Here is a 19,854-nt window from a genome sequence, read left to right on the forward strand (position 1 = left end):
TGTGGGTTAAGGGGTGGTGGCTGATATTGTCCTTCAGCCTAGTGCTAGTTAGTTAGTTGGCCACTCAGGAAGGTATAAAGTGTCCCAGAAGTATGGCGGCCTCAGTGACTGTTTTGGTGGGAAGGATTCCAGGGAAGATGGCAGTTTCGCCTTAGAAGATTTGGTTCCAGGGAGGTTTAGAGGAAAAAGAGGACGATGATTTGCAGGCTTTCTCTAAAGATCCAGATGGATCCCAGACGTAGTCCAGCCAGGAAGATCTGATTTTGTTTGTCTTCCTTCCCCATCTCCCTAAATAATTTTTAATTTTATCTTCAAAGCATGACGCAGGTGTTAATTAACACTGCCTGCTCTCCTGGGAGGTAGGCAAGTGGAAACACCACCCCTATTAGTGAAGCCCAGGGGATAGCAGGTGCGGAAGCCTTAGGCAGGTGAGCCACAGAGAAGCAGAGGGAGTCTTAGACCTCGTGGCCCTGCCCTCAGACCTTTACTGGGACTTGCTGCTCACTTAGTTACCTTGGGAGCCACCTCACTTTCTCATTGTCCTTAGTTCCCAGTAAAAGAGCTGAGGCTGTGGTAGGAAAGATGTATGGTCCTATGGGATGAGTAATGGAAAGTCTAAGGGCTGGGAGAAATTCTGGTAAAATTCACTGTTACTGTGAATTTTAGATGCAGGATTCTGATTATGCCATTGATTTCATTCATTTGGTTTAAAAAAATGTACTGAGTATTTACTTCTGAGTGAGGTGTGTTATAAAGAGAATCACTTCTTCTGAAAGAGCTGGCTTAGCACTAGGGATCCTGCTGATTGGGAACTTGTTCCTTTATATCCCATGCTCAATCTCTAAAGCAAAGGCTGGGGTGTGGGGTTTGCTGCCTCTGCAGGTGATGGCTTCAAGCGTTGGACTCTTGACATCTGGAAATAGATGAGAAACCCAGGTGTGACTGTTGGATGTGGTGAACCTCTAGAGGCTGAACTTTCCCTTCTCCTTTAACCACTCACCTTGGTTGGCTCAGGAGAGGGGGTCCCTGAGGAGTCCTCTCCCTGGGGCTGTAGGTGGTAGCACATCTTCAAGCCTGATGTTATCTAGGGCTGCCTGGGAATGATGATAATGTGTGTGCTGGGTGTCTAATGAAACTGCTGGGATGATACTGAACTTCCCACTCCAGAAAAGCAGCGAGACTGGAGTCTCCAGTGGTTTCTTTCTCATTCATTGGGTATCTTGGGCATGATACCAGGAACAGAGAAGTGGGTCATTTGATCCTGTCAGTGTTGCCTTCTTCATGGGTGGCAGTTGGATTCTGCTTGCTTTGTAGGGAGCCCTGCTCCATCAGCCAATGTTAGTCCTCTTCCCTTGATGTTACAGGCTGCTGAGAACTAGCCCTAGACCTCTGCGTGAGGGTTCTTCTGCCGAAGACATCACCAGTGTGTGGAGCCTGCCACACCCACCCGCTGCCAAACCACGGCCTTTACCTGTGTCTTCCGGTGTTTCCCGTGCGACCCATCCTGTGGGAGTGCCTCGTGGGCTGCCCCAGAGTTCACCCCACACTCAGCAGCACCAATGGTGAAGATGACAAGATCGAAGACTTTCCAGGCATATCTGCCCTCCTGCCACCGGACCTACAGCTGCATTCACTGCAGAGCTCACTTGGCCAATCATGATGAACTAATTTCCAAGGTACACATTTCCAGCAGGCCTTCCTTGCCTACCCCGGGGAGGGCGCTTAGTGCTCCTGAAGTTGCAGAGGTTTACAAGCTCTCAAGAATATTTGTACTCCATCTTTGTACAGGGAGGGCTGACCCACGTGACCGTCTCACTCAACTGAGAAAAACTCTGAGTTGGAGGGACAGAGTAGTCATTTAATTTGTTATTTTGGAAATGAGGTGTCATCCTTGTTGGAGGCTTTGGGAGCTGGCAGCTTGCAAGCCAGAGAAGGGAGGGGCTGGGGATTGATGGGAGCCTTGTTCTCAGCTTGCTTGGTTTAGGTTGGCGGACGAAGAGTGAAGAGTGCTCCCTGCTCAGAAGGTGAATTCTGATAAAGCAGGGGAATGTCTTGTAAGAGGGGTTCCTTAGCAAGATGAGAGAGCCACCAGGAAGTTGTGAGACTGTGGAATTACTAAAATGGGTGGCTTTTGGCAGGGACCAAAAGTGGCTTGTTGAAGAGCTGACCTTCTGGCCTGTGGGGGCCGTTAGGGCTCATACATGAGGTAATATGGCATGACATTTGATCATGATCAGAAGAATGGAACCCTGTTTTTCCTGAGGTGCTTAGGCAGCTGCTTTCTAAAGTTGGGGCTGGGGGATTATTAATAAGTAAATAAACCAACATGCCAGTTGTGCAGTTCAGGAAATGGATCCTTCAGGGAGCGTTCTCAGGGGAACTGCTTCCCTCCTGGCCCTAGATTCCCAGGGGAAGAGAAACAGGTTTTACTAGGCTGCATGACAAAGAGAAAGAGATAATGGGAGACTTTTCCCTTACAAAAGCATCTTTACCCAGAACCTGGACTTCACGCCATTAAAGTAAAAAAAAAAACCAACCCATCTTTACGCAGACCGAGACGAAGTTTTTTGTTTTGTTTTTAAATGTGTTCCTCATCTGTTTACAAGACCTGCTGGAAAAGGTGGCTGTTGCTTTCTTTGCCTCTGGTTTGGTAGCCCCAGCCAGAGAGGAATGAAGGATCTAGTCAGCTCTTGTAGAACAGTCCTCTCCAGCTGGCTGATTTGACCTAGGAGGTGAAGAAAGCTGCCCAAACAAACACATCTGTAGTAGTGAGGCTTTTCAAATCGGGCCTGAGGACCGAACCTCTTGTTCTAGCCTTACTCCAGGGTCTAAGGTGACCACAGAGCTTGAAGCGTACAGCCCCTTAGAGTCCTATCCTCTGGCCAGACTTGTGAATCTGCCCCACTTTCCTTTCTTTATGGTTCTGCTAATTCCTCTCCTTTATGCTGCTTATGTTTCAGCCAGCCTTTAGCTTCCTTCTCAGCTTCCCTTCGAATTTTGGGGAACCCCTTGAGTCTGGAAGTTTGAATGTGTGGAGGTGTCAGTGAGAGAAGAGAGGAGTTGGTCTCTTGGACGTTGGAATTGGGTTTGCAAAGTTGTAGGGGAATTGTGAGTTGTCCTTTTTTTTTTTTCCCCCCCTTTGGAAATCTCCAGAGAAATTATTTGCCTGTATCTACTGGGGAAGCCAAGGCATCATTTTTTTAATGCAAGGAAGCAGTGCCATGTATCATAAGAAATTGAGGTACCAATAAGGTATTTTAGCACCCTTTATGTACTAAAAACTGCAACTTGACACTTTATCAATGTTAACTTAACCTTCATATGAAGTCTTTAAGGTAGTTGACATGAGTCATACTTTATGCGGATGAAGAAGCTGAAACTCATAAAACTTGTCCAAGATGTCAAATCAGAGGTTCAGAGAAGAGTGATTACTTTGAGTGGGTGTTCAGGAGGGATTGCTGGAGGAGATGGTTCTTTGATCTGGGCCTTGTAAGATGGGCAGAAGTTGAGTATGTGGAGATGGTAATGGCCTTCAGAATTTATGTCTTATCTGTTTGGCCTGGCATACAAGGCCTTTGACAATTTGGCAGAGTCTGGCTTTTTTGGTAGGTCTCCAGCCAGCTCTTCACTTTGTTTCAGCCACTTGGAACCAAGCCACATCGCCTGAATATGCAGGTATGGGTGTTTCAGGGCTCTGTGCCTTAGCCAAGAGTGTCCGTTCTCCTTCACCTCCCTCCTCCTACACCTCCCTCCTCTTTCTCCTGAGCTCTTTCTTATACATCCTTGGGCATGGCCTATATCTGCTTTACATCTCGGGGTCAGAACCTGACCCATGGCAAGAGCTCAGTAAATGATAAATGAATAGATGGAGGTTGAGCCTTGGAGAAGACAAGTAATGAGAAAAAAAAATACTTTGTTGGCCTCATGTCCTTCCTGTCCCTTTTGGGGCAGAAAGGCTCATTCACAAGTCCAGGCCAAAGTCAGCACAGGCTTCAATTTCATTGGCTCAGGCCGGTACACAGATGGGGTGCATTAGAGCTTGATGATTTAAAGGGTTGGGTGAAATGCCTGACTGTGGGGAGAGCTGAGGGAGCTGTGGCTGGCATTGCACAAAGCTTCCTTTATTTCACTCCACAGCCACCCCCGGCGTTAAATAATCTATAGATTCTTATGCAGGTCTGCCTAATGGAAAGATCATTGCCCCAGCCTCCTCCTTGGAAAATAGGCCTTTCTTTTCATTTTTCCCTCCCTCTTCCATTTAAGAAAGTTCAAGGAGAGAATGTCTCTCCTGTTCTCCTCTCTTGACTTAATCTCCTATGCAGTTTCAGAATCTGCCCAGTGGGAGTTAGGAGCTGGGAAGCAGATAACTGGAGCTGGATCAGCAGTGTAATTAAATGATACTTTGTACTGGTAATAGGGCCTTTCATCTGAAAGCTTGACATTCGTTTGGTGCAAAAAAAAAAAAAAAAGTGAGTGCTTTCATTATGAAGAAGGGGATACAAAGGTCTGAGTGTGACCAGCAGTGAACTGGGACTAGGACTAGAACTTCAGGCTCCCTTCTATCAGTGTGCCTAAGCCTACATGGAAATGTATAGTTAGAAAGTTTTTAAAAACAAATGGAGTCTGTATTGCCATGGTGGTGGAAAGAATCCAGTACCAGGCTTTCTACCTTCACAGCTTGCTTTAGATCCCTAGAGGCCTAGTTGCTTGCAATCAATTGTCCAACTTCCAAGCCTCAGTTTCTCACTCATACAATGGGTAAAATAATGTTTACTATGTTTAATGCTGTCTTAGTCCATTAGGGCTGCTAAAACAAAATGCCATAGACTAGTTAGCTTATAAACCACAGAAGTTTATTTCTCACAGTTCTGGAGGCTGGGAAGTCCAAGTTCAAGGCACCACCAGATTCAGTCTGGTGAGGGCCTGCTTTCTGGTTCACAGACAGCTTTTTCTTACTTAATCTGACATGGTAGAAGGGAAGGGTCTCTCTCTGTCCTCTTTATAAGGACACTAATCCCATTCACAAGAGCTTTGCCCTGATGACCTAATCACCTCCCAAAGGCCTGATCTCCTACTGCCATTATCTTTGGGGTGAACGTTTCAATCTATGAATTTGGGGAGGCATTCAGACCATAGCAGATGTCTCTAGCAGCCAGCACCTAGTGTATGCTCGTGATGTGCTATCCCAGCAACAGTCCTGTGGAGTGGGCATGCCTCACTGGGGAGAGCAGGTTTATTTCATTGGATTGTTATGAGGCTCAGCTGAGATCATGGATGTGTGGGTGGTTTGCAAATTACAAACCTTTATGTAAATATAAAGTAGTCTGTTTGCTTCTCTTGGCCTTACTGTCCAAAAGAAAAGAACAAAAAGACAAGGGGGTGGGTTGGAGGGGATTATTCCTGCCTGACACCAACTAGTTTTAGTTTGGCTAAGATGGCTTCACTTTGGAACCTGAGGCACAAGATTGGATATGAGAAGGGGTAATAGAAAGCCAAGTGTGTCTGTAGAAAGGTAACATGGCATTTTCTCTGTAAAATGGTAAAGAGGGTAGGGGGAAAAACTCTTGAATTGATGACAGAACTATCTAGGGAATGTGCTGAGGCATCCTACAATTTTTTTCTTAGGGGGTGTTGTGGTCTAAATGCTGGAGTGTTTGCACACAGAGGTATTTTGAGTTGGCATGAGGAATTGCTCACATTGTTGTTTCTTCCCTAATGGTACAAGCCCTAGTATAAAAATATACTTTGCTTATAAAATAATAATAGCTTCAATTGGAACAGTTAGTAGCCAGCCCTAGTGAGAATAATCTAAACACTCATTTTAGTGGACATAATCTATTATGGAAACCTGGGTCTTCACAAAGCTTTTGTATGAAAATTTTCTGTCTGTCATCCTCCCTTTGCCTCCCTCCTGCCAACCCCTTGATGGCATTGTGGAGTAGGCCATTTAGGAAGGATAAATTGGATTAATCTATCACAGACCCACTTCGGGGCCCTGTGACTTCATGCCAACACACGGTTGCTTTAGTGCTCTGGGTCCTGGAGGAAAGGAGTGGTAGGGTGCTGTAGAGGGGTAGTCCAGTGGAGGTGGGATGAGGAAACCTTTTGCTCAGTCTCCAAAACTATTTACGCTATTGTTATGTCAGATCTATAGGTCAGATTATCTTCTGGTGACAAATAAGGAATTTCTAGAATTATGGGTCATCTCATTCAAGCCTCTCTTCATGAGGAGACAGGCCATGGGTGACTCAGTGATCAGAATGAGATCACACAGCCTCAGAGCCAGGGCCATCCACCTCATACCCCTCCACAGTGTTCTGTGTGAGGAGCCCTGGCCTGACTTGTTTTCAAGCTCTGGGCAGTCCTTCTGAGGTTGGGAGCATTTAGAAGGCAGGTGGTTTTTATTCCCTATGGGGTTCCATTGGGCTTACAGTGGTGACATTTTGGTTTTCCCTTCCTGTCTAGAGATTAGATGCAGCATTTCTTTGAGAAGAGTCAGGGAGTGAGATGTTCTGAATCCTTGTATTGATCTAGTGGCTGCCAAGAGGTAGACTCTGCCCTTGGTTTCCCACCTCTGGCTCTGAGCCCTGGTGTTGTACACCAGTGTAGTGTAGTGTAGTACCCCCATGCAGTGGCGTAGGGGCAGTGCTAAGGAAGTACCGAGATCTGACCCATCCTGTCCACTCTACCTGTCAGGGCAGGTAGAGTTTCTCAGTTCCCACGGCTCATCAGTTTGTGGTTTTTTTTTTGGTTGTTGTTTGTTTTTCTATTTTTTTGAGACGGGGTTTCATTCTTGTTGTCCAGGCTGGAGTACAGTGGCACAATCTTGACTTACCGCAACCTCTGCCTCCCAGGTTCAAGCGATTCTCCTGCCTCAGCCTCCTGCGTAGCTGGGATTATAGGCGCCCGCCTCCACGCCCAGCTAATTTTGTATTTTTACTGAAGATGGGGTTTCTCATTTTGGCCAGGCTGATCTCGAACTCCTGACCTCAGGTGATCCGCCCACCTCGGCCTCTTAAAGTGCTGGGATTACAGGCGTGAGCCACTGCACCTGGCCTTTTTTTTTTTCCTTTTTCTTTTTTTTTTTTTTTGAGATGAAGTCTTGCTCTGTGGCCCAGGCTGGAATGCAGTGGTATGATCTCAGCTCACTGCAACCTCTGCTTCCCGGGTTGAAGTGATTCTCCTGCCTCAGCCTCCCAAGTAGCTGGCATTACAGGTGCACATAACCACACCTGGCTAATTTTTGTATTTTTAGTAGAGACGGGATTTTGCCATGTTGGCCAGGCTGGTCTCAAACTCCTGACCTCCAGCGATCCACGCGCCTTAGCCTCCCAAAGTGTTGGGATTACAGGCGTGACCCACTGCACCCAGCCAGTTTGTGTTTTTAATGTACAATAAAACTACTCTCTGAAATCTTGATGGAATTATCTGTGTCCTGAAAACCTCATGTAAATAATAAATATAGGAACATAATTTCTAAAAATCCCTTCATTTCTTTTTTTTCTCTAGATGTCTGGAAAACGGTATAGTGAGCATTGAGTTATATCACTAGTAGTGTTGTTAGTGGCTACTGTGTCACATCAGACAGCATAATTCATAAAGGATATGTACAATATTATCAGACCAGAATGCCAGTTAGCAAAAATTAAAAATAAAGATGAAAAGAAATAATAAAGAATATATACAATATGAGATGTAGCCCTTGAAGATAATTATTCTATGAACTTATCTAATTTGCAAAATAGGTATTTTTAGCCCTAATTTTGTTAATTGAACTCTAATTTTTGATATTCAGTGGATATATGACATAATGATTTTTACAAAAACCATACTCGAATAAAATTCGAGTATGTTTTAAGAGGAGGGAAAAATCAGATTGCAGGCATAAATGTCTATCTCAAAAAGTAAACCTTTTGTTTCTAGAATAGTGGGACCTGGCTCTTTGCCAGAGCAGTGGTACTAAGAAACAGAAGGGTGGGAACAACTGCTCTGTATGGCCTGAGCTCTAGTGGGTGCCTCTGCCACTTTGCTGTTGAATGTCAGTGTTTCTTTTTTATTTATTTTTTTGAGACGGAGTCTCACTCTGTTGCCCAGGCTGGAGTGCAGTGGTGCGATCTCGGCTCACTGCAACCTCCGCCTCCTGAGTTCAAGAGACTCTCCTGCCTCAGCCTTCTGAGTAGCTGGGATTACAGGCATGCGCCACCACACCCAGGTAATTTTTAAATTTTATTTATTTATTTTTTTGAGACGGAATCTTGCACTGTTGCCCAGGCTGGAGTGCAGTGGCACGATCTTGGCTCACTGCAAGCTCCGCTTCCCGGGTTCACGCCATTCTCCTGCCTCAGCCTCCCGAGTAGCTGGGACTACAGGCACCCGCCACCACGCCCGGCTAATTTTTTGTACTTTTTTAGTAGAGACGGGTTTCACCGTGTTGGCCAGGATGGTCTTGAACCCCTGACTTCAAGTTATCTGCCTGCCTCGGCCTCCCAGAGTGCTGGGATTACAGACGTGAGCCACTGCGCCCGGCCGTGTTAGTGATTCTTAGACATCACTTCTAAGCTACAGCCAAGGCAGAAGTGACAAATTAGGGAAGAGTTCCAGCACAACCCAATAAGTCCAGTTGCAAGACATGCTCTACCAAGTTGGCTTTTATAAAGAGAATCACATTTCCCAACCCCAAATTACTTAATTATTTTCTTCAACTATGTGACCTTTGAAAGCTCTGTCTCCTACTAATGAAGCATTGGCTCTTTTGTACTCCTCTAGAAGTATCTGTTGACCACCCAGGAAGGGGTGGCAGGTGAATCAAATCTGTACAGAAAGTCTCCAAACAAAGGGATGTGGTTACTTTACAGTGTTTCTTGGTGAAAAGAAACTATTTGGGGCTCGTGTAAAGTATATAGTATCTTATGGTACCTTTCCTCCATAGGGGCAGAGATTGAACCCGTTCAGGATGAAAAGAGCCATGAATTAGGCTGGGATTTTTTTTCTCTTTTTTTGATATAAAGTCTCACTCTGTCACCCAGGCTGGAGTGCAGTGGTGCAATCTTGGCTCACTGCAATCTCTGCCTCCCGGGTTCAAGCAATTCTCGTGCCTCAGCCACCTGAGTAACTGGGATTACAGGTGTGCATCACCATGCCCAGATAATTTTTGTATTTTTAGTAGAGATGAGGTTTCACTGTGTTGGCCAGCCTGGTCTCGACCTCCTGACCTCAAGCAATCCACCTGCCTCTGCCTGCCAAAGTGCTGGGATTACAGATGTGAGCCACCGCACGCAGCTTGGGATAATTTGTATAGCACGGTTGGTCCACAGTGGGACCATTTTAACTATATCTGAAGAGTTTCTGGTGTATGTGGGTGACGGCAGTGGGGACTGTGCCTATACTTGCTCTTATCATCTTATTGATTCCATTCTGTCTTTGCACAAATACTAATTACGTACTCTGTGTGTGTGTGCGCGTGCATGCACATAGCACTATTCTAGATATTATAATACTACTCAAAAATTTTGTCAGGGAACTTTTATCCTAGTTTGGGAGATAATAGATTCATGTTATGCCTTCTTGAAGTTTCTACTTCATCTTATGTTTCTCTTAAAGCAGTTATCACAGTGTGATGACGCATGTTTCCCATTAGCCTGTGAATTACTTGAGGAGATGATTGTGACATCGTTTTTGTGTCTCTAGCAGCAGCACAGCTCCTAAGACTGGTAGATTCTCAGTGAATATTTGAGTGAATGACTTATTACTCAGATAGAGATCTTTATCAGTGAGTTTCAATCTGGGTCCGTGGACTGGCTTCAAGGACTCCATGAAATTGCATGTGTCATTCTGTGGGCATGTATATTTTTCTAGAGAGGGTTTCATGGCTTTCATCAGGCTCTCCACCAAAGATACTGTTGGTTAAAAAAGGAAAAAAACACACACACAACCAAACTTTAAGATCCATCTTTCTAGAAAATGCAGTTCTGGGAAGACTTGGTGGAAGAAGTGGCATTGAAGTGTGCCTGGAAGCAGAAGCCTCAAATGATGGGGAGGAGCTGGTAAAAGGAGCATCAGGAACAAAGAGCCAGAGGCAGGGAGCACACAGGGAGCAGCCGTTCTTTGGGGTAGAGGTTGAAAAACTGTGAAAACATTAAAGGTGTAGGTAGAAGCCAGATTATTAGAAGAATAGAAGCTAGGATGTTGTCCCATTGACAGTTGGTTGCTACTGAAGACTTTTAAGCAAGTAATGACATGACCAGCAAATGGTTAGTGCTGCTGTGGTGTGGTAGATGAACTAGTGAGGAAGAGACTAGAATGGGGCAAGTGGTGTCTGTCCATTGCAGTGGTCCGAATGTGTTCCAGGTACATGGTGGTCATTCAGCAAATACTCATTGACCACTGCTTGGCAAAGAAATAGAAGCATTCTATGGTTTTTTTTTTTTTTTAATTGTGTTTATCATGTGTAGGCATGGACAAGGGGAATTGGGTTCAGGAAGTCACATGCTTTAAATGGGAGGCAGACCTGTCGCACAGTCACGCCTGCTCCCTGTGAAAATTAATGATCTGGGCACACATAGAGTTGCTCACCAATTTAGTATCAAGGGAGCTGCTGGGACCAAATCTGGTGAATCATCTTTATGTTTTGTTTTTCTTTTGCTGCAGACTGCAGGCAGCTGGAGCACAAAATCTGCTCAAATGTGATTCTTTCTGTGTGGTTACTTTAAATACCAAAAGGAAATGTTGACTTGAGCGATGAGGCGTACCCTGAAAATTAACTCTGTGGTTTGCAGATGCCTTTAAGGTTCCAATCATAAGACTGGTTTGTATATTAGCGTCTAGGCTCTCAGCAGGGACACTGGTAATCAAGCTTGTGTTCCCAGTCAGAAATCCAAAGAAACTCTTTTTCATCAGGGTGTTCAACCTGGGAAGCAAGGAGTGGGTGCAGGATCCCTCTGTTTCTGTTTGAGCAGTGGCACTCCCTCTGGCCTCTGGAATGGTAAATCTGCACCATTGCTAGCTTGGCTGTTTGCGTTTGGGGGCTGACTAGAATCCACTGTCATACACTACTTGTTCAGTTCAATATTTCTTGTGCTTTAAACAACATTTAAACCTAGATGGTAGGGATAAGATGATTCCTGCACTTAAAGAGCCTGTGATGTTTAGGAAACAAGGGAATGCAAGGCTCACCATGGAGGGTAGAAGAATGTTACAGATAAGGTTGTTTGGTGTTGTAACAAACACACAAGATGGAAAATCTATGTTGCTGCTATTAGCTACTATTGATTGAACACCTTCTTAGTTTCTATGTATATATAGATATATATATAGAGAGAGAGAGAGACAGGGTCTCGCTATGTTGCCTAGACTGGTCTCAAACTCCTGACCTCAAGCAGACTTCCCACCTCAGCATCCCAAAGTGTTGGGATTACAGGTGAGCCACCACACTGGTCCTAAAGACTTACCCTTTTTTTTTTTCTTTTTTTTTTTTTTGAGATGGAGTCCCACTCCGTTGCCCAAGCTGCAGTGCAGTGGCGTGATCTCTGCTCACTGCAGCCTCCGCCTTTTGGGTTCGAGCAATTCTCCTGCCTCAGCCTCCCAAGTAGCTGGGATTACAGGCATCCGCCACCAGGCCCGGCTAATTTTTGTATTTTTAGTAAAGGTGTGGTTTCACCATGTTGGCCAGGCTGCTCTCGAACTCCTGACCTGACCTCAAGTGATCCACCTGCCTCAGCCTCCCAAAATGCTGGGATTACAGGCATGAGCCGCCGCACCCAGCTGAACACTTTCCTCTTTATTGAGCACCTACTGTGTGCCAGGAACTCCTTTAGGTATTTTACTTACTCCATCACTTATTTTACAACATCCTTTCAATGTGGGGATTAAGGCCATAGGTTACCAGGTTACCAAGAAGCCAGATGGGTTCAGATTCAGATCTGCTCATGTACTTTTTGCTACCGCTTCGCAGTGTGGCCTAGGTTCTTTTGGCCTTGCCTATTTTATGGTCTTACTCAGTAATCCTTGTGGCAAATCCCACCCTTTCTTCCCTCCTGTCATTTCCTTTGCCTTGGTGAATCCTTCTCCTTTCCTCTCTCTCTATTCAGTTCCTACCCATTCTTGAAGACCAGTTCACATCTTTTTTTCTTCTAGTGAGTCTTCCTGGCTTATAGGATGCTCTGAATGTCTGTAGAACTCACTCTCTGGTTGTTCATTTGGAAATTAATGACTGTCTTGTGGTATGGTCTGTGTTGTTATGGTTGCGTGCACTTTTTATGTATAATTGTCTTGCTTCCTAACAAGATTCTCAATGTCCTGGAGTCATAGATGCTCAGAACTTTGTGGCTGGAGGTACCTTTGAACCTGGAGTTTCTAGTTCAACTCCTCATTTTACAGATTAGGAAACCAAGGCCCAGAGAGAAACTGAGGGCCTCTTGATTTTGCACTTTGCCACCTCCCCCGACACACCACTTTGCACATAGCTGGTGCACATAGCCCTGGGAGAGGGCTGGCATCTGGAAGATTGACAGTGTCAAGCGCTGTGATCTTGGGCAAGACTGTTCATCTCTCTGGCTCTCCCTTTTCTTCATTTATCCAAATGAGTGCAATAGGTTAGACTGTCTTTAAAGTTCCTTCTACTTCCCCCCTGCGTCTTCTGAGTCTAATGTAGTAGCATAAGATGATATGAGGCCATATAACATAGCAGCTCGTGGTATAACTCCGAGCCCAACCACCTGGCTTATTCATTTAGTAGCTGTGTACATTAAGTAATCCCTCTGTGTCTTTTTTTTTTTTTTTTTTTTTTTGAGACAGAGTCTCGCTCTATCACCCAGGCTGGAGTGCAATGGCACGATCTTAGCTCACTGCAACCTCCACCTCCCGAGTTGAAGCAATTCTCCTATTCAGCCTCCCAAGTAGCTGGATTACAGGTGCCTGCCACCACATCGGCTATTTATTTATTTATTTGTTTATTTCATTTTTTGTAGAAGATGGGGTTTCGCCATGTTGGCCAGGCTGATCTCGAACTCCTGACCTCAGGTGATCCACTGGCCTCGGCCTCCCAAAGTGCTGGGATTACGGGTATGAGCCACTGCGCCCATCCGCCTTTGCGTCTTAATGGCCTCACTGGCAAATGGGAATAATAGTAATATTAGATACCTGATAGGATTTTTGTGGAAATTAAATGAGGTTATTGATGTGAAGTTCTTACCACAGGGCCTGGCACGTGATAAGTGCTCAATAAATGTTGGAAGCTAGTGTTATTCTATGAATAGTCACTAAAGAAAACCAAATGGAAAGTGACAGAACTAGGGCCTGGCACCCCAACAAGCCTGGCACTCTTGCTTGTTGCCCTTGTTTTTGGAGAGTCTCAGCAGTTGCCCTTGAGCCCTACAGTTGTCATCTGTCGTCTTTTGAGGCCTCTCCTCATGGAATCGCTTGTTCCTTATCCCAGGGGGACCAGCAGGTCTCAGGAGGTGATGAAATAGCAGCAGCACCTTCCACCACAGCTTTCTGGGGCCTTACCTGCAGGCAGCAGCGAAGCCTCTCTAGAATGTAAATGGAAAAGCCTGTCCCTGCCTCCTTCCCTTTTAGTCTGTCAGGTGGTTACTGTGCCTCTGACCCACCCGAGGACCTCAGTTGGCTGTGACACAGCAGCCCAGGCGGCTGGAAGAGAAGTCCCTGGCCTGGAGAGTGAAGCTGGAGCTGAGAGTTGCTTGTCAGTTTGATTCCTTCTGTGACACTTCGGGTGGGGGGGAATCTTTTGAAAGAAACCACTTTCTTTATCTTGAAAGAACAAAACCAAAAGAGAATCTCTGATAACCTTTGTTTCCAAAGCACTCAGCAAAGCTGCTGAGAGGAGGGTTTGACCTGGTGACCCAGAGTATTATCTCTGGGGTAAGGGCTGCCCAGCCAAGGGGAGCTTTAGCTGTTTCCCTCCTCTCCCTGGCTTATTGCTGGTGGCTGGACAGTGAGTTGGAGGAGGAGGGGGAGAGGAAGAGAGGAGGAGATGGCTCTGCCAGCTGCCGCTAGAAACAACAACATCTAATCAGTCCATAAACTCCCTCCCCTCCAGACTACAGTGATGTCAAGAGGTGGAGCAGGTGGCACTAGTTCTCCCCTCCCCTTTAGCCCCTGACACCTTTGGGTCTTTGAAGGGGTAAATTATGATCATCAAAAGGAAAATTCTCTATCTTTGGGGGCCCAGGAGCTCCTTTTCCTTCTTGTTAGGGTTGGCTCCACCAAGAGCAATTTTCTGTTTCCTCATTTATCTGTTGGGAAGCTAACTGTGACCTTAGCGTCCCAGCAGATAAATGAGGAAACAGAAAAGTGTTTCCTCACCAAAACAAAAAATCCCTGAGCAAACCCTCCTGCAGAGGGCCCTGTCATTTATTCCACATTGTGTGAGCTCCTCTTACGTGTTAGACCCTGGGAATTACAGTGGCAAACAGATGCAAGCTTTGCCTTCACTGAGCCTGTCACACGGTACCCTTTGGTTCCTGGAAGACCCAGCACCTGAAAAAGCGGTTGGTGGCAGCAGCAACAAGGATCTCCTTCCTGAGCCTGGCCCCTAAGGTTATCCGGGGCAGCTGAAAAACCAGCATTTCCATAGTGCTTTCCATTCAGTTTGCCTAATTTTCATGAGAGGCTGAAGTGCCTTTTGTTTCCCTGATGGTCCCTGTCCTCCCCTGCAGAGTCGGCCTGAGCTAGCCCAGCCGAGTCGGGCAGCCCCTTGTTCTCTGATGCATCTTTGGAGGAATGTCTGTATTCTCAGGACCAGGCCTCTCCCCACTGGGTGGGGGCTGCTTTGTTTACATTCCTGACCTTCTGAAAGCTGCCAGCTTTATCCACAGCTGGCCTTTCCCCTTCAGATGCCAAATGTTCCAAACGACAGGTACAACTCTGAGAGGGCCGTTAAGGTTCATGCCAGAAACATTCACCTAGGAAGCCTGAGGAGAGAGGAAGCCAGTGAAACTAGACTTCATGGAGCTTTTTGAAGCTCGAAGCCCCCATATTTCTTGATTCTTCCCGCAGCGGGAGAAAAAAAGAAAAAACACAAAGTGTGTCTGTGTGGGAGGAGAGTTCCTCCCTGTCCATCTCTTTCTCTATAAAAACAAGAGGCCAACCTGCTCTGAGCATCGTGGGGGCAGGTGCTGGGTAAATACACGAGAAAGGAAAGCCAATAAGATAAGGTCTGACAAATCTAGGTCACCCGGCTGCTGCCAGGTACCTGTGTGACTGGCCACCTTGAAACTGACAGGAGGAGTATGGACTTTTGTTCGAGGCTCAGCCTGGCTGATTTCTCATGTCTTTGTTTATTTATTCAGTAAACATTAATTGAGTGCCATTATGTGCCAGGCCATGTGCTAGGTGTTGCAGGTCCCTGTGTGCCTCTGACAGGCAAAATCTCCTCCTGGATCCCAGGCCTGTAACCAGGGCTAAAAAAAGAAATGACTTCATTCAAAAGCCAGTTGGTTCACTAACTTCCAGAGTAGGGGCAGCCAGTCCCTTGGTAGAAGGGAGGGGCTGTTTGCAGTCTTGATTCCCTGTTTTTTGGGCTAGATCCAAAGGTCTGCAAAACTTTTTCTATAAAGGCCAGATAGTATTTTACGCTTTGCTGGACATAGGGTCTCCACTCAAATCTGCAGCCACAGAGAATATATAAACAAATGAGCATGGATGTTTTCCAGAAAAACTTTATTTGCAAAACAGGTGAAAGGCCCAATTAGGCCCTTGGACTGGTTTACTTAACCCTAGGTAAGATGATTAGAATGACTGTTGTGAAATGGGTGTTGGAGAAATAGGTTTCTGTGATTTCAAGAGGAATCTCAAACCAGCATGGTGGCTTGTATGAAGAGTGTAGGGGTTGAGGCACTGTGCTAATTGACAAGGTCTTAATTGACACCCTGGTGAGAATTCTATTCCATAGGCCAGACTTCAGCCCCAGCCGTCTAGCACCCACAGGTTCCCACCATAGGTTACAAGGTGATCAAGCCAGATAGGGCACATAGTTTCCTACAGTGTCATCACTGTAATGGGAAGACAGTGTGGGGCCCTGCTGAGGAGAGTCTGTGGCACCATTTGAAAAGCCTTGAATGAGGGTCAAGCCACCTCTGCTCCAGACCTGGCTTTGTGCTAAATTTTCAGTGTGGCATTGAGCAAGTCACTTAACCTCCCTCATCACCCTGCATATATTAAATCCTACTGTATGAAGCACTGGGGATACAGAAATGGATACAAATACAGAAATGGATGAAATTCTCTTTTTTTTTTGAGACAGAGTCTCACTCTGTTGCCCAGGCTAGAGTACAGAGGCATGATCACAACTCACTGCAGCCACAACTTCCCAGGCTCAGATGATCTTTTCACCTTAGTCTCCTGAGTAGCTGGGACTACAGACATGCGCCACCATGTCCGGCTAATTTTTCTATTTTTTGTAGAGATGAGGTTTCTCCATATTGCCCAGGGTGGTCTAAAATTCCTGGGCTCAAGTGATCAGCCCGCCTTGGCCTGCCAAAGTGCTGGGATTGCAGGCGTGAACCGTGCACTTGCCTGGAATTCTTGCCCTTAAGTAGCTTATGATCTAATGGGGAAGGCAAATAGATAAACAGTGATAAAATGTAGTGAAACACAGTCATTGTTTCACTGTAAGTGATTGTTCCAGATGTTATGAGGGTAAAGAGCAGGATGAATGTTTACTAAGATGAGTGTTTAGAAGCATTTACTAAGTGGACAAGAAGACGAAGACAAGAGGAGTCCATTCTGAGCAGAGACAGAGAAACATGACACGAGGCCAAGTCCAGGGACCACAGGGAAGACAGATGGGGAGTCTGTGCTTTAGGGAAGCAGGTCAGGGTGGATCATGCAAGGCCTAGAAGGCCAAACTAAGGAGTTTAGACAGAGTTCTGGATGCTGTGAGGAGCTGCTAAAAGGTTTTAAGCAAAGGAGTGATAGGATTTTATTGAGATTGGATGAGAATAAAACATAGCCTATTTTGGAAAATCAACTTCTTTAGCTTCTGTAAACCATGTATCCTTGAGCTTTGTGTGATTATACAATGTTGATGTTGTGGAGTAGTGGGCATTGATAACATGCCATAGCTGTTTAAAAATAGTCAGGCTGGGTCCCTCCTTGGTGGTGCCTTCAGCTAAATAGCAAGCAGGTAGATCACTGGCAAACAGCAGGCAGTCATAACTCTAAGAAGAGGGCCTTTGTTAGTTCATGGAGGTCTGGGGGTTTGCAGGTCCTGGGCCCTCTGTCTCATCTGACACTCCTGGCTTCTTGAGTAAGGCTCCCCAAATCATTGAAAGCGGGCAATTGCAACTCCCTGTTGATGAGTTTTTCTCTAAATTTAAAGAGAGAATTCAGTTGCAGAATTCCAGTGGCTTTGGTGTAGCCATGAGGTTTGGAATACGGCCAAGTGAAGGTGGAAATAAGTAGCTTCTGCAGTCTTTATGTATTTAGAGAATCATTGAAACAGGCATTGGAAAATGGGGATTCTTGGACAGTGATTCCCAAATCTGACAGTACATCAGAATCACCTGAGATACAAAGGCAGATTGCCAGACCCCACCTCACAGATTCCTTTTCTGAGGGTCTGAGAGTGTTGTGGAATCAGGGCCCTGATGGCCGAGGGAAGCAGGTCACCTAGGACACAAGATTTAAGGAGACACTCACTCTCAGAGTTGTACAGTACAGGGTCAGCACCCCACAAACAGTGCCTCCTTAAATTTCATGTTCCAGCCTTCTGGCTCGCCTGACCCTAGTCCCAGACCCACTGGGGATCTGTATTTTAACGAGTATCCCTGTCCCGGTCTGATGTAACCAGTACTAATATTTGGGAGCCACAGCTCTAGGACAAGCGTTCTCAGTACTTGGAAGATACACGTGCTGTCCCTAATGTCCGCTGCCTGCCATCCAGCACTTTACACTTGTAGTAGTTCCCTGGAGGTCCAAAGAGTGGTTTTGACTGACCTTTATTTGAAAAAGGAAACAGCTCTTTGGAGGCCTTCTTTTAATTATCCTAACAATAGCCATCATTTTACTGGGTGTCTACTAAGGGGCAGGCATTGTGCTAGGCATGTTATATGTGAATCATGTCTTTTGCCTCAGACTAATCCAAAGAGAGATGTACTACTGTTGTCTCCATTTTTAGATGAGGAATGTGAGGCTCAGACAGATTGAGTTGACCAAGGAGACCCAGCTAGGAAATGGCAGAACCAGAATTTTTTTCTTTTTTTCTTTTTGAGACGGAGTCTCGCTCTGTCGCCTGGGCTGGAGTGCAGTGGCGCGATCTGGGCTCACTGCAAGCTCTGCCTCCTGGGTTCACGCCATTCTCCAGCCTCAGCCTCAGCCTCCTGAATAGCTGGGACTACAGGCGCCTGCCACCATGCCCGGCTAATTTTTTGTATTTTTTAGTAGAGACGGGGTTTCACTGTGTTAGCCAGGATGGTCTTGATCTCCTGACCTCGTGATCCGCCCGCCTCGGCCTCCCAAAGTGCTGGGATTACAGGTGGGAGCCACTGCGCCCAGCCAGAATTTTTATTTTTATTTTTTAATGATTCTGATTTTTATTATCAGGTCAGAACAAATGAAATAGCAGCAAAACGGTCTGTCATATATTCTGGTTTTCACTGGTCCTCAGGCCAGGCAGGCTAGAATGTAAATTCAGGCCTGATCTCAGGGTCTACCATTAAGTGCTGTATCACACAACCTATTTCTTGCTTTGACTAAACAGAGGAACCCAACACAAGCCCTTCCATTGGTCCTTCTCAGACTGTCTGCCTCGCTTTGAAATCTCCAGGTAACCCCCTGTTCCTGGCGTCTTACACTGGGACCAAACATGGCACCCCAGATTGCTTCGGCTTGTTTCTTTGCTGTTTGTTTCAATAGGGTTTGCTGGCCCATCGAGCCATGGCACACAGAGGAGGGGCACAGGTGGCCCTCAGCAGGGGCAGAGAGTTATCCTTCCTTAAGCTGTTTGCTGATTAACTCCCTTCTCTGCTGAAACCAGACAAGAGGAACTCAAGAGTCAGCAGGGCTCAGAAGCCCCAATTAATGTGTAGTCCAACTGGGTCAGGGGGAGTGACCCTGTGCAGTGGCCCTTTTTTGTTTTTTTGTTTTTGTTTTATTTTCCCCAGGAGCATGTGTGCCCCCACCTTACTAGAGTAGAGTTCCGCACACTGGGAGGAGGGATTCCAGCCCCCAGCCGAGGGAGTTAGAGCTCCTGTGAAGCACAGGCCTGTCTAGTCGGTCCCTTCCTCCCTGGCCTGCTGGCTGGGCTCTGGCTGGTGTTAAGTTGCCCCAAATACCCAGTCTCCTGTTTCACATCCTTAGGCAAAGATCCCATGGCCAAGGTGCCCTTTCGGCTTAGCTTTCCCACCGGCTGCTTGCAGACAGATAAGCTTCTAACAGTAGGGAAGGGGGAAGGTCGGAGGTGGGCAGAATGCTGAGCAGACCCCTTTGTCTGCAGGCATAGTGGGCTCTGCAGCTCCCCAGTATCGTGTTGGATGGGGCAGGCCCTGGGTGGTGACCAGCTGCCTGTCCCCAATCCTCCACTTCTTTAGTGGCAGGTGGAACATGGCTTGGCTGGGGCACAATCGTACATATGCTCCGGCTTTACCTTGGGGTGGAAATTGGAGGCTGAAAGTTTGTAAGTGTTGAGAGGCAAGCAAACTCTGTGTTTGTGTGAGCTGGAGAATGCAGGGGCTGCCTGAGCCAGGCTCTGTCTCTGCAGAGTCTGCCCTGGCTGTGCCAGACTCCCTGTCCAGACCTCTCAGAGATGTTTCATTCCTTGGGCTGGGTTGAACTGAGACATAGCCCTGCCGCGAGACAGGAGGGAGAAGGAGCCAGTGGACAGAATGTTCTCATGCCTGG

General features: G+C 46.4%; 1 protein-coding gene and 1 non-coding gene across 3 annotated transcripts in view, besides 5 other annotated features; both read left to right on the forward strand.

The window, feature by feature from the left end:
• The window catches only part of YPEL2 (yippee like 2), a 70,075-nt gene that overhangs the window by 20,196 nt on the left and 30,025 nt on the right, over positions 1 to 19,854 (forward strand). For both annotated transcript variants that reach the window (NM_001005404.4, XM_017024621.2), the window contains exon 2: positions 1,365 to 1,676. In NM_001005404.4, the coding sequence (NP_001005404.1) occupies positions 1,560 to 1,676 (117 nt within the window). In that variant the 5' untranslated portion in view covers positions 1,365 to 1,559. The remainder of the gene's footprint in view (positions 1 to 1,364; positions 1,677 to 19,854) is intronic.
• Positions 13,802 to 14,571: an enhancer, noted in NCBI's record as "OCT4-NANOG-H3K27ac-H3K4me1 hESC enhancer chr17:57443013-57443782 (GRCh37/hg19 assembly coordinates)". NCBI's record gives its function as "activates a minimal SCP1, AML or CMV promoter by ChIP-STARR-seq in primed H9 embryonic stem cells {active_cell/tissue: H9 hESC(primed)}" and the evidence as "EXISTENCE:reporter gene assay evidence [ECO:0000049][PMID:30033119]".
• Positions 14,233 to 14,304, forward strand: MIR4729 (microRNA 4729). Its single transcript, NR_039882.1, has one exon. It is a non-coding gene; the product is annotated as a microRNA 4729 (primary transcript).
• Positions 14,572 to 15,341: an enhancer, noted in NCBI's record as "OCT4-NANOG-H3K27ac hESC enhancer chr17:57443783-57444552 (GRCh37/hg19 assembly coordinates)". NCBI's record gives its function as "activates a minimal SCP1, AML or CMV promoter by ChIP-STARR-seq in primed H9 embryonic stem cells {active_cell/tissue: H9 hESC(primed)}" and the evidence as "EXISTENCE:reporter gene assay evidence [ECO:0000049][PMID:30033119]".
• Positions 15,898 to 16,192: a silencer, noted in NCBI's record as "tiled region #10372; K562 Repressive DNase unmatched - State 9:DNaseU". NCBI's record gives its function as "represses a minimal TATA promoter and a strong SV40 promoter by Sharpr-MPRA in K562 cells {active_cell/tissue: K562}" and the evidence as "EXISTENCE:reporter gene assay evidence [ECO:0000049][PMID:27701403]".
• Positions 17,792 to 18,293: an enhancer, noted in NCBI's record as "H3K4me1 hESC enhancer chr17:57447003-57447504 (GRCh37/hg19 assembly coordinates)". NCBI's record gives its function as "activates a minimal SCP1, AML or CMV promoter by ChIP-STARR-seq in naive H9 embryonic stem cells {active_cell/tissue: H9 hESC(naive)}" and the evidence as "EXISTENCE:reporter gene assay evidence [ECO:0000049][PMID:30033119]".
• Positions 18,294 to 18,793: an enhancer, noted in NCBI's record as "H3K4me1 hESC enhancer chr17:57447505-57448004 (GRCh37/hg19 assembly coordinates)". NCBI's record gives its function as "activates a minimal SCP1, AML or CMV promoter by ChIP-STARR-seq in naive and primed H9 embryonic stem cells {active_cell/tissue: H9 hESC(naive and primed)}" and the evidence as "EXISTENCE:reporter gene assay evidence [ECO:0000049][PMID:30033119]".

This window comes from Homo sapiens, chromosome 17 (genome assembly GCF_000001405.40).
Source record: "Homo sapiens chromosome 17, GRCh38.p14 Primary Assembly".
In the NCBI taxonomy this organism is placed as follows: Eukaryota; Metazoa; Chordata; class Mammalia; order Primates; family Hominidae; genus Homo; species Homo sapiens.